The 13,512-nt window shown below is 48.3% G+C and overlaps 1 annotated feature.

The window, feature by feature from the left end:
- Positions 8,459 to 8,659: a silencer, noted in NCBI's record as "peak2302 fragment used in MPRA reporter construct". NCBI's record gives its function as "represses an SCP1 promoter by STARR-seq MPRAs in K562 erythroleukemia cells {active_cell/tissue: K562}" and the evidence as "EXISTENCE:reporter gene assay evidence [ECO:0000049][PMID:32103011]".

The raw sequence follows: 13,512 nt of genomic DNA, 5'->3' as shown, positions 1-13,512 counted from the left end.
TAGCCAAGCAGTGGTCACCATGGGCATTGGGTGACCCAGTGCAGTCTCAGTAGTGGTGGTCATAGCAGTGATTGTGTCACCCCTTCCCCAGACCTCGGCAACTCAGCACGGAGAGACGTTTGGGGGAAAGTGAGGGAAGAGAACAAGAGTCTCTGCCTGGTAATCCAGGGAATTCTCCCAGATCTTACCCAAGACCACCAAGTTGGTATCTCTAATAGTCTGCAAGAGCCACAGCATTACTGAGCTTGGGGTGCCCCTTAATACAGATACAGCTACAGTGATCAAAGACTTAGATCATAACACACAAGTCCCTCAGAATACTTGAAAAGCCTTCCCAAGAAGGACAGGTACAAACAAGCCCAGACTGTGAAGACTACAATAAATATCTAACTCTTCAATGCCTAAACACTGACAAACATCCATAAACATCAGTTCCATCCAGGAAAACATGACCTCACCAAACAAACTAAATAAGGCACCAAGAACTAATCCTGGAGAAACAGAGATATATGACTTTTTAGACAGAGAATTCAAAATAGCTCTTTTGAGAAAGCTCAGTAAAATTCAAGATAACACTGAGAAGGAATTCAGAATCCTATCAGATACATTTAACAAAGAAATTGAAATAATTTAAGAGTCAACCAGAAATACTGGAGCTGAAAAATGTAGTTGATGTACTTAAGAATGCATCAGAGTATTTTTTTTTTTTTTTTTTAATCATTCTTGGGTGTTTCTCGCAGAGGGGGATTTGGCAGGGTCACAGGACAATAGTGGAGGGAAGGTCAGCAGATAAACAAGTGAACAAAGGTCTCTGGTTTTCCTAGGCAGAGGACCCTGCGGCCTTCCGCAGTGTTTGTGTCCCTGGGTACTTGAGATTAGGGAGTGGTGATGACTCTTAACGAGCATGCTGCCTTCAAGCATCTGTTTAACAAAGCACATCTTGCACCGCCCTTAATCCATTCAACCCTGAGTGGACACAGCACATGTTTCAGAGAGCACAGGGTTGGGGGCAAGGTCACAGATCAACAGGATCCCAAGGCAGAAGAATTTTTCTTAGTACAGAACAAAATGAAAAGTCTCCCATGTCTACCTCTTCCTACACAGACACAGCAACCATCCGATTTCTCAATCTTTTCTCCACCTTTCCCCATTTTCTATTCCACAAAACTGCCATTGTCATCATGGCCCGTTCTCAATGAGCTGTTGAGTACACCTCCCAGACGGGGTGGTGGCCGGGCAGAGGGGCTCCTCACTTCCCAGTAGGGGCGGCCGGGCAGAGGCGCCCCTCACCTCCCGGACGGGGCGGCTGGCCGGGCGGGGGGCCGACCCCCCCACCTCCCTCCCGGACGGGGCGGCTGGCCGGGCAGAGGGGCTCCTCACTTCCCAGTAGGGGCGGCCGGGCAGAGGCGCCCCTGACCTCCCGGACGGGGCGGCTGGCCGGGCGGGGGGCCGACCCCCCCACCTCCCTCCCGGACGGGGCGGCTGGCCGGGCAGAGGGGCTCCTCACTTCCCAGTAGGGGCGGCCGGGCAGAGGCGCCCCTCACCTCCCGGACGGGGCGGCTGGCCGGGCGGGGGGCTGACCCCCCCACCTCCCTCCCGGACGGGGCGGCTGGCCGGGCGGGGGGCTGACCACCCCACCTCCCTCCCGGACGGGGCGGCTGGCCGGGCGGGGGGCTGACCCCCCCACCTCCCTCCCGGACGGGGCGGCTGGCCGGGCGGGGGGCTGACCCCCCCACCTCCCTCCCGGACGGGGCGGCTGGCCGGGCAGAGGGGCTCCTCTCTTCCCAGTAGGGGCGGCCGGGCAGAGGCGCCCCTCACCTCCCGGACGGGGCGGCTGGCCGGGCGGGGGGCTGACCCCCCCACCTCCTTCCCGGACGGGGCGGCTGGCCGGGCAGAGGGGCTCCTCACTTCCCAGTAGGGGCGGCCGGGCAGAGGCGCCCCTCACCCCCCGGACGGGGCGGCTGGCCGGGCGGGGGGCTGACCCCCCCACCTCCCTCCCGGACGGGGCGGCTGGCCGGGTGGGGGGCTGACCCCCACCTCCCTCCCGGACGGGGTGGCTGCCGGGCGGAGACGCTCCTCACTTCCCAGACGGGGTGGCTGCCGGGCAAAGGGGCTCCTCACTTCTCAGACGGTGTGGCTGCCGGGCTGAGGGGCTCCTCACTTCTCAGACGGGGCGGTTGCCAGGCAGAGGGTCTCCTCACTTCTCAGACGGGGTGGCCGGGCAGAGACGCTCCTCACATCCCAGACGGGGCGGCAGGGCAGAGGCGCTCCCCACATCTCAGATGATGGGCGGCCTGGCAGAGATGCTCCTCACTTCCTAGATGGGATGGCGGCCGGGCAGAGATGCTCCTCACTTTCCAGACTGGGCAGCCAGGCAGAGAGGCTCCTCACATCCCAGACGATGGGTGGCCCGGCAGAGACGCTCCTCACTTCCCAGACGGGGTGGCGGCCGGGCAGAGGCTGCAATCTCGGCACTTTGGGGGGCCAAGGCAGGCAGCTGGGAGGTGGAGGTTGTAGCGAGCCGAGATCACGCCACTGCACTCCAGCCTGGGCACCATTGAGCACTGAGTGAACGCAACTCCGTCTGCCATCCCGGCACCTCGGGAGGCCGAGGCTGGCGGATCACTCGCGGTTAGGAGCTGGAGACCAGCCCAGCCAACACAGCGAAACCCCTTCTCCACCAAAAAAATACGAAAACCAGTCAGGCGTGGCGGCGCCTGCAATCCCAGGTACTCGGCAGGCTGAGGCAGGAGAATCAGGCAGGGAGGTTGCAGTGAGCCGAGATGGCAGCAGTACAGTCCAGCTTTGGCTCAGCATCAGAGGGAGACCGTGGAAAGAGAGGGAGAGGGAAACCGTGGGGAGAGGGAGAGGGAGAGCGAGAGCGCATCAGAGTATTTTAACAGCAGAATTGATCAAACAGAAGAAAGAATTAGTGAGTTTGAAGACAGGCTATTTGAAAATACACAGTCAGGCCGGGCCCAGTGGTTCATGCCTATAATCCCAGCATTTTGGGAGGCTGAGGTGGGCGGATCACCTGAGGTCAGGAGTTCAAGACCAGCCTGGCCAACATGGCAAAACCCCGTTTCTAGTACAAGTACAAAAATTAGCCAGGAAATGGTGGCATGTACCTGTAGTCCCAACTACTCAGGAGGCTGAGGCACAAGAATGACTTGAACCCAGGAGGCAGAGGTTGCAATGAGCCGAGTTTGTTCCATTGCACTCCAGCCTGGGTGACAGAGTGAGGCTCTTTAAAAAAAAAAAAAAAAGTCCAGGCGCAGTGGCTCATGCCTGTAATCCCAGCACTTTGGGAGGCGGAGGCGGGCAAATCACCTGAGATCGGGAGTTCAAGACCAGCGTGACCAACATGGAGAAATCCTGTCTCTACTAAAAATATAAAATTAGCCGGGCGTGGTGGCAAATGCCTGTAATCTCAGCTACTCAGGAGGCTGAGGCAGGAGAATTGCTTGAACCCAGGAGGCAGAGGTTGTGGTGAGCCAAGATGGTGCCATTGCACTCCAGCCTGGGCAACAAGAGTGAAACTCTTGTCTCAAAAAAAAAAAAAAAAAAAAGATGAAAGAAAGAAAGAGAAAGACAGAGAGACAAAAAAAGAAGAGAAAGAAAAAGAAAGAGGAAGAAAGAAAGAGAGAAAAGAATAAAAAAAAAGAGGAAGAAAGAAAGGAAAGAAAAAAAGAAAAGAGAAAGGAGGGAGGGAAGGAAGGAAGAAAGGAAGGAACGAACAAACACAGTCACAGGAGACAAAAGAGAAAAGAGTAAAAACCAATGAAGCACACTACAGAATCTAGAAAATAGCCTCAAAAGGGGAAGTCTAAGAGTTACTGGCCTTAAAAGGGAGGTAGAGAGATAAATAGGGGTGGAAAGTTTATTTAGAGGGATTATATCAGAGCATTTCTCAAACTTAGAGACAGTTATCAATGTTCAAGTACAAGAAGGTTATAGAACATCAAGCAAATTTAACCCAAATAAGACTACCTCAAGTCATTTAATAATGAAATTCCTAAAGGTCGGAGATAAAGAAAGAGTCCTAAAAGCAGCAAGAGAAAAGTAACAAATAACATACAAAGGAGCTCTAATACTTCTGGCAGCAGACTTATCAGTGGAAACCTTACAAGCAAGGAAAGAATGGTATGACATATTCAAAGTGCTGAAGAAAGAAACTTTTATCCCAGGATAGTATATCCAAACATGAAGGAGAAATAAAGACTTTCCTAGACAAGCAAAAGCTGAGGGATTTTATCAACACCAGACCTATCTTATGAGAAATCCTAAAGAATATTTATTCTGAAAGAAAAGAATGTTGATGAGCAAGAAATCATCTGAACGTACAAAACTCATTAGTGAAGAGGCAGAGCAAGATGGCAGAACAGAAGGCTACACTCTGTCCCTGCTTTTGGAACACCACATTTTAATAATTATCGACACACAGAAAAGCACCATAACAAGAACCAAAAAATCAGTTGAGCAATCATAGTACATGGTTTTAACTTCATATCACTAAAAAGGCATTGAGGAGGGCAGTCTTGAATCACCAATGCCACCCCTCCCCCATCCCCTGGCAGCACCCATGTGGTGTAGGGAGAATCTGTGCACTTTGCACAGTGACTGGGGTACTTTACATTGAACTCAGTGCTGCCCTGTCAGAGAAGAGAATAAAGCCATGAGCTGAGCACCCATGCATGCAAAAAACATTTGGACCAGCCCTAGCCAGAGGGAAATTGCCCATCTCAGTGGTTGCAACTTGAGTTTCTCTGGGGTCCTAGATAAACTTGAGAGGCAGTCTAGGACACAAGGACTGCAATTCCTAGGCAATTCCTAGTGTGAGGCTGGGCTTAGAGGTGGGCTAGCTTAGCTGTGTAGAATAGAACATCAGGGCAACTGCTAAAATTTTTTACTGTAATCCCTGGCTCCCAGACAACATCTCTGGACACACTTGGGACCTGGTGGAACTCGCTGCCCTGAAGGGAAAGGTCTTGGGCAAGACCCAGTGCTGACCGGGCATGGTGGTTCACGCCTGTAATCCCAACACTTTGGGAGGCCAAGGCGGGCCGATCACTTGAGGTCAGGAGTTCGAGACCAGCCTGGCCAATATGGTGAAACCTCATCTCTAATAAAAATACAAACAAATTAGCTAAGCATGGTGGCGGTTGCCTGTAATCCCAGCTACTCAGGAAGCTGAGGCAGAGAATTGCTTGAACCCGGGAAACGGAGGTTGCAATGAGCCAAGATCATGCCACTGCACTCCACCCTGGGCGACTGAGCGAGACTCCATCTCAAAAAAAAATAAATAAATAAAAATAAATTAAAAAAAAAAATCAGGCGGGGCGCGATGGCTCATGCCTGTAATCCTAGCACTTTGGGAGGCCAAGGTGGGCGGATCACTAGGTCAGGAAATCAAGACCATCCTGGCTAACACGGTGAAACCCTGTCTCTACTAAAAATACAAAAAATTGTCCAGGCGAGGTGGCGGGCGCCTGTAGTCCCAGCTACTTGGGAGGTTGAGGCAGCAGAATGGCATGAACCCAGGAGGCGGAGCTTGCAGTGAGCCGAGATTGCGCCACTGCACTCCAGCCTGGGCGACAGAGCGAGACTCTGTCTCAAAAAAAAAAAAAAAACTCGGCGCTGTGCTGGCTTCAAGTCTAACCCAGTGCAGTCCCAGTGGTGAGGCCACAGATGCTTGCAGCACCACACTGCCACCTACAGGTGGCTCAGGACAGAGAGAGAAAGAGACTTCATTTGTTTGGGAGAAGTAAGGGAAGAACAAGATTCTCTGCCTGGTAATCTAGAGTATTTTTCCAGATCTTAGCCAAGACTACTAAGGCAGTACTTCTGAGTCTGCAAAAACCACAGCCTCATTGGGCTTCGGGCCCAAGTCCCAAAGCCAGACTGTGAAGACTACAATAAATACCTAACTCTTCAATGCCCAGACACTGACAAATATCTACAAGCATCATTTCCATTCAGAAAAATATGACCTCACCAAACAAACTAAACAAGGCACCAAGGGCCAATCCTGGAGGAACAGAGATATCTCTGACCTTTTAGACAGAAAATTCAAAATAGCTGTTTTGAGAAAACTCAAATTCAAGACAAAAGACAAAAGAAGAATAAAAAATGAAGCACACAGGATCTACAAAATAACCTCAAAAGGGGAAAATCTAAGAGTTATTGGCCTGAAAGAGGAGGTAGAGAAAGAGATAAAGATAGAAAATTTTTCAGAATAAGCCATCTAAAAAATGTAAAAGAAAACAAAAATATGGCCGGGTGCGGTGGCTCACGCCTGTAATCCCAGCACTTTGGGAAGCCGAGGCGGGCAGATCACGAGGTCAGGAGATTGAGACCATCCTGACTAACACGGTGAAACCCCGTCTCTACTAAACATACAAAAAATTACCCGGGCGTGGTGGCGGGCGCCGGTAGTCCCAGCTACTCGGGAGGCTGAGGTAGGAGAATGGCGGGAACCCGGGAGGCGGAGCTTGCAGTGAGCCGAGATTGGGCCACTGCACTCCAGCCTGGGCAACAGAGACTCCGTCTCAAAAAAAAAAAAAAAGAAGAAAAAGAAAACTTACTCAAAGGAAGAGAGAATATCAGAGAACGTTCCAAACCTAGAAAAAAAAATCAATATTCAACTACAAGAAGGTTATAGAACACCGAGCAGATTTAACCCAAATAAGACTACTACTAATAATCAAACTCCCAAAGGTCAAGGTTAAAGAGAGGGCCCTAAAAGCGGCAACAGAAAAAAAAAAAAAAAATACCACACAAGGGAGCTCCAATACGTCTGGCGGCAGACTTTTCAGTGGAAACCTTACAGGCAAGGAGAGAATGGCATGACATATTTAAAGTGTTCCTTGTCATCCCATTCTTTCCTTGCTTGTAAGGTTTCCATTGAAAAGAAAGAAAGACCTTCCCAGGCAAACAAAAGCTGGGGGATTTCATCAACACCAGACCTGTCCTACAAGAAATACTAAAGGGCGCTCCTCAATCTGAAAGAAAAGAATGTTGATGAGAAAAAAGAAATCATGTGGGCCAGGTGCAGTGGCTCATGCTTGTAATCCCAGCACTTTGGGAGGCCAAGGTGGGCAGATTACCTGAGGTCAGGAGTTTGAGACCAGCCTGGTCTACATGGTGAAACCCCGTCTCTACTAAAAATACAAAAAGTAGCTGGGTGTGGTGGCGGGTGCCTGTAATCCCAGATACTCAGGAGGTTAAGGTAGGAGAATCACTTGAACCCAGGAGTTGAAGGTTGCAGTGAGCCGAGATCGCACCACTGCACTCCAGACTGGGCGACAGAGACTGTCTCAAAAAAAAAAAAAAAAAAAGGAAAAAGAAATCATCTGAAGGTACAGAACTCACTGGTAATAGTAAGCACACACACAAAAAGCAGAGACACATTTAACAAAGAGACACATTTAACTTATAAAGATGCACATAGACTTAACATAAAGGTGAGAGGTGACAGCGTGCTGGCAGTCCTCACAGCTCTTGCTCGCTCTCGGCGCCTCCTCTGCCTGGGCTCCCACTTTGGCGGCACTTGAGGAGCGCTTCAGCCTGCCGCTGCACTGTGGGAGCCCCTTTCTGGGCTGGCCAAGGCCGGAGCCGGCTCCCTCAGCTTGCAGGGAGGTGTGGAGGGAGAGGCGCGAGCGGGAACCGGGGCTGCGTGCGGCGCTTGCGGGCCAGCTGGAGTTCCGGGTGGGCGAGGGTTTGGCGGGCCCCGCACTCGAAGCAGCCAGCCGGCCCTGCCGACCCCAGGTAATGAGGGGCTTAGCACTCGGGCCAGCGGCTGCGGAGGGTGTACTGGGTCCCCCAGCAGTGCCAGCCCACCGGCGCTGCGCTCGATTTCTCGCCGGGCCTTAGCTGCCTTCCCGCGGGGCAGGGTTCGGGACCTGCAGCTCGCCATGCCTGAGCCTCCCACCCGCTCCGTGGGCTCCTGTGCCGCCCGAGCCTCCCTGATGAGCACCGCCCCCTGCTCCATGGCGCCCAGTCCCATCGACCACCCAAGAGCTGAGGAGTGCGGGCGCAGGGCGCAGGACTGGCAGGCAGCTCCACCTGCAGCCCCTGGGCCGGATCCACTGAGTGAAGCCAGCTGGGCTCCTGAGTCTGGTGGGGAGGTGCAGAACCTTTATGTCTAGCTCAGGGATTGTAAATACACCAATCAGCACCCTGTGTCTAGCTCAGGGTTTGTGAGTGCACCAATCCACACTCTGTATCTAGCTACTCTGGTGGGGCCTTGGAGAACCTTTATGTCTAGCTCAGGGATTGTAAATACACCAGTCGGCACTCTGTATCTAGTCAAGGTTTGTAAACACACCAATCAGCACCCTGTGTCTAGCTCAGGGTTTGTGAATGCACCAATCGACACTCTGTATCTAGCTAATCTGGTGGGGATGTGGAGAACCTTTGTGTCTAGCTCAGGGATTGTAAACGCACCAATCAGCACCCTGTCAAAACAGACCACTTGGCTCTACCAATCAGCAGGGTGTGGGTGGGGCCAGATAAGAGAATAAAAGCAGGCTGCCTGAGCCAGCAGTGGCAACCTGCTCGGGTCCCTTTCCACATGGTGGATGTTTGTTCTTTTTGCTCTTTGCGATAAATTTTGCTACTGCTCAGTGTTTGGGTCCACACTGCTTTTATGAGCTGTAACACTCACCGTGAAGGTCTGCAGCTTCACTCCTGAGCCAGTGAGACCACGAACCCACCAAAAGGAAGAAACTCCGAACACATCCGAACATCAGAGGGAACAAACTCCAGACGCGCCACATTAAGAGCTGTAACACTCACTGCGAGGATCTGTGGCTTCATTCTTGAAGTCAGTGAGACCAAGAACCCACCAATTCCGGACACAAAGGGATGGAAAAAGATATTCCATGCTAATGGAAACCAAAAGAGAACAGGAGTTGCTATACTTATATCAGACAAAATAGATTTCAAGATTGTAATGGTGGTATGTAGACTACTCTTGTCTTAAGTAGAAAGACTAATGACCCAGGCTAGGTGGTTCATGGCTGTAATACCAGCACTTTGGGAGGCGGAGGCGGGTGGATAACCTGAGGTCAGGAGTGCAAGGCCACGCAGGTCAACATGGGAAAACCTGTCTCTACTAAAAATACAAAAAAGTAGCCAGGCGTGGTGGTGGGCTCCTGTAATCCCAGCTACCCAGGAAGCTCAGGCAGGAGAATTGCTTGGACCCAGGAGGAAGAGGTTGCAGTGAGCTGATTTTGTGCCATTGTACTCCAGCCTGGTAATAAGAGTGAAACAGACTAAATAACCAATCAAAAATAACTTTTCTTTTTTTTTCTTGTCTTTCTTTCTTTTTTTTTTTTTTTGACATGGAGTCTCACTCTGTCACCCAGGCAGGAATGCAGTGGCGCGAACTCAGCTCACTGCAACCTCTGCCTCCCAGGTTCAAGCTATTCTCTGCCTCAGCCTCCCAAGTAGCTGAGATTACAGGCACCCACCACCACACGTGGCTAATTTTTGTATTTTTAGTAGAGATGAGATTTCACCATCTTGGCCAGGCTGGTCTTGAACTCCTGACCTCGTGATCCACCCACCTTGGCTTCCCAAAATGCTGGGATTACAGGTGTGAACCACCATGCCTGGCCTTAACTACAACTTTTCAAGACATGGATAGTACAATGAGACAAAGAGAAACAAAAAGTTAAAAAGCAGGGAAATTACTTTCTTTTTGTGTGTTTGTATATGCAATCAATGTTGTCATCAACTTAAAATAATGAGTTGTAAGACAGTATTTGCAAGCCACATAGTAACCTCAGATAGAAAAACATACAATTGATACATGAGACATAAAAAGCAAGAAATTAAAGCATACCACCAGAGAAAATTACCTTCGCTAAAAGGAAGACAGGAAGTTAGGAAAAAAGGAAGAGAAGATCACAAAACAACCAGAAAACAAAGGTAAGAGTAAGTCCCTACTTACCAATAACATTGAATGTAAATGGACTAAACACTCCAATCAAAAGACACAGAGTGGCTGAATGGATAAAAAAACAAGACTCAATGATCTCTTGTGTACAAGAGACACATTTAACTTATAAAGATGCACATAGACTTAACACAAAGGGATGGAAAAAGATATTCCATGCTAATGGAAACCAAAAGAGAACAAGTCACTATACTTACATCAGACAAAATAGATTTCAAGACAAAAACTGTAAGAATAGATAAAGAAGGTCATTATATAATGATAAAGGTGCCAATTCAGCAAGAGGAGATAATGATTATTAGTATGTATGCACCCAACACTAAAGCACTCAGATTTAAAAAAAGGAAATATTATTAGAGCAAAAGAGAGAGATAGACCTGAATACAATAATAGCTGGACACCTTAACACCCAACTTTCAGCATTGGACAGATCTCCTAGACTCTTTTTCTCCCAGACAGAACATCAACAAAGAAACATTGGACTTAATGTGCACTATAGAAAAAATGGACCTAATAGATATTTATAGAACATTTCATCCAATGGCTGCAGAATACACATTCTTCTCCTCAGCACATGGATCATTCTGAAGGATAGACCGTATGTTAAAACACAAAACAAGTCTTAAAACATTCAAAAAATTGAAATAATATCAAGCAGCTTCTCTGACCACATTGGAATAAAACTAGAACTCAATAACAACAGGAATTTTGGAAAATATACACACACATTGAAATTAAACAATATGCTCCTGACAGTGGGTCAATGCAAAAATTAAGAAGGAAATTGAAAAATTTATTGAAAAGAATGATAATGGAAACATAACATACCAAAACCTATGGGATACAGTAAAAGCAGTACTAAGAGGGAAATGTATAGCTATAAGTGCCTACATCAAAAAATAACAAAAACTTCAAGTAAATAACCTGATGATACATCTTAAAGAACTGGAAAAGTAATGTCCAGGCACGGTGGCCTGTAATCACAGCACTTTGGGAGGTCAAGGCAGGTGGATCACCTGAGGTCAAGGGTCAAGACCAGCCTGGCTAACATCGTGAAACCCCATGTCTACTAAAAATACAAAAATTAGCTGGGCATGATAGCATATGCCTGTAATCCCAGCTACTCGGGAGGCTGAGGCAGGAGAATCCCTTGAACCCGGGAGGCAGAGGTTGCAGTGAGCCGAGATTGTGCCGCTGCACTCCAGCCTGGGCAAAAGAGCAAGACTCTGTCTCAAAAAAAAAAAAAAAAAAAAAGACACTGGAAAAGTAAGAGCAAACTGAACCCACAATTAGGAAAAGAAAATAAATAATAAGTATCAGAGCAGATATAAATGAATTTGAAATGAAAACAATACAAAAATCAACAAAACAAAAAGTTGTTTTTTTTTTTTGAAAAGATAAAACTGACAAACCTTTAGCCAGACTAAGAAAAAAAGAGAGAAGGCCGGGCACAGTGGCTCATGTCTGTAATCCTAGCACTTTGGGAAGCCAAGGTGGGCGGATCACGAGGTCAGGAGATTGAGACCATCCTGGCTAACACGGTGAAACCCCGTTTCTACTAAAAATACAAAAAAAATTAGCCAGGCGTGGTGGGGGGCACCTGTAGTCCCAGCTACACAGGAGGCTGAGGCAGGAGAATGGCGTGAACCCGGGAGACACAGTTTGCAGTGAGCCGAAATCGCACCACTGCACTCCAGCCTGGGCGATAGAGTGAGACCCCATCTAAAAAAAAAAAAAAAAAGAAAAAGAAAAAAAAAGAGAGAAGAACCAGGTAAGTAAAATCAGAGATGAAAAAGGAGACATTACAACTGATACAGAAGAAATTCAAAGGATTGTTAGTGGCTTCTATGAACAACTATATGCCAATACATTGGAAAATCTGGAAGAAACAAATACATTCCTAGACACATACCACTTATCAAGATTGAACCATGAAGAAACTCAAAACCTGAACAAACCAATCACAAGTAATGAGATCAAAGCCATAATAAAAATTCTCCCAGCAAAGAAATGCCTGGGGCCCAATGGCTTCACTGCTGAGTTTTACCAAACATTTAAATAAGAATTAATACTAATCTTACTCAAACTATTCCAAAAAATAAAGCACGAGGGAATACTTCCAAACTCATCCTACTGCCGGGCACAGTGGTTCACACTTGTAATCCCAGCACTTTGGGAGGCTGAGGCAGGTGGATCACCTGAGGTCAAGAGTTCAAGACCAGCCTGGCCAACATGGGGAAACCCCATCTCTACTAAAAATACAAAAATTAGCCAGGTGTGGTGACACATGCCTGTAATCTCAGCTACTCAAGTCATCTACCCGCCTCAGCTCCCCAAAGTGCTGGGATTACAAGTGTGAACCACTGTGCCCGGCCTAACACCTGGTGTTTTGATAACACCTTTTCTCTAAGATCTAGAACAAGGCAAGCATGCCCACTTTCAGCACTGTTATTCAACATAGCACTGGAAGTCCTAGCTATAGCAATCAGAAAAAAGAAAGAAATAAAGGGAACCCAAAATTGAAAAGGAAGAAGTCAAATTATTCTGTTTGCAGATGATAGGCTTTTATATTTAGAAAAACCTAAAGACTCCACCAAAAAACTCAAATTCAGTAAAGATAAACAAATTCAGTAAAGTTGCAGGATACAAAATCAACATACGAAAAGCATCAGCATTTCTTTCTCTTTTTTTGAGATGGAATCTCGCTCTGTCACCCAGGCTGGAGGGCAGTGGCGCGATCTCGGCTCACTGCAACCACTGCCTCCTGGGTTCAAGTGATTCTCCAGCCTCAGCCTCCCAAATAGCTGGGATAACAGGCATGTGCCACTACACCCAAATAATTTTTGTATTTATTTATTTATTTTTGAGATGGAGTCTTGCTCTGTCGCCCGGGCTGGAGTGCAGTGGTGCAATCTCAGCTCACTGCAACCTCTGCCTCCTGGGTTCAAGTGATTCTGCTGCCTCAGCCTCCCGAGTAGCTGGGACTACAGGCGTGTGCCACCATGCCTGGCTAATTCTTTTGTGTTTTTAATAGAGACAGGGTTTCACCATGTTGGTCAGGCTAGTCTCAAACTCCTGACCTCATGATCCGCCCACCTTGGCCTCCCAAAGTTCTGGGATTACAGGCATGAGCCATTGTGCCCGGCCAAGCAGCAACATTTCTATATGCCAACAATGAGCATCTGAAAAATAAATCAAGAAAGTAATCCCATTTACAATAGCTACAAATAAAATAAAATACCTAGGAATAAACTTAACCAAAGAAGTGAAAAATCTCTGCAATGAAAACTATAAAACACTGACACGGCCGGGCGTGGTGGCTCACGCCTGTAATCCCAGCACTTTGGGAGGCCGAGGCAGGTGGATCATGAGGTCAGGAGATCGAGACCATCCTGGCCAACATGGTGAAACCCCGTCTCTACTAAAAATACAAAAATCAGCTGGATGTGGTGGTGTGCACCTGTAGTCCCAGCTACTCAGGAGGCTGAGGCAGAAGAATGGCGTGAACCCGGGAGGCGGAGTTTGCAGTGAATGGAGATCATGCCACTGCA

The sequence above is a fragment of the Homo sapiens genome, chromosome 15, assembly GCF_000001405.40.
Source record: "Homo sapiens chromosome 15, GRCh38.p14 Primary Assembly".
Lineage (NCBI taxonomy): Eukaryota > Metazoa > Chordata > Mammalia > Primates > Hominidae > Homo > Homo sapiens.
This window is presented reverse-complemented; position numbering and strand designations above follow the sequence as displayed.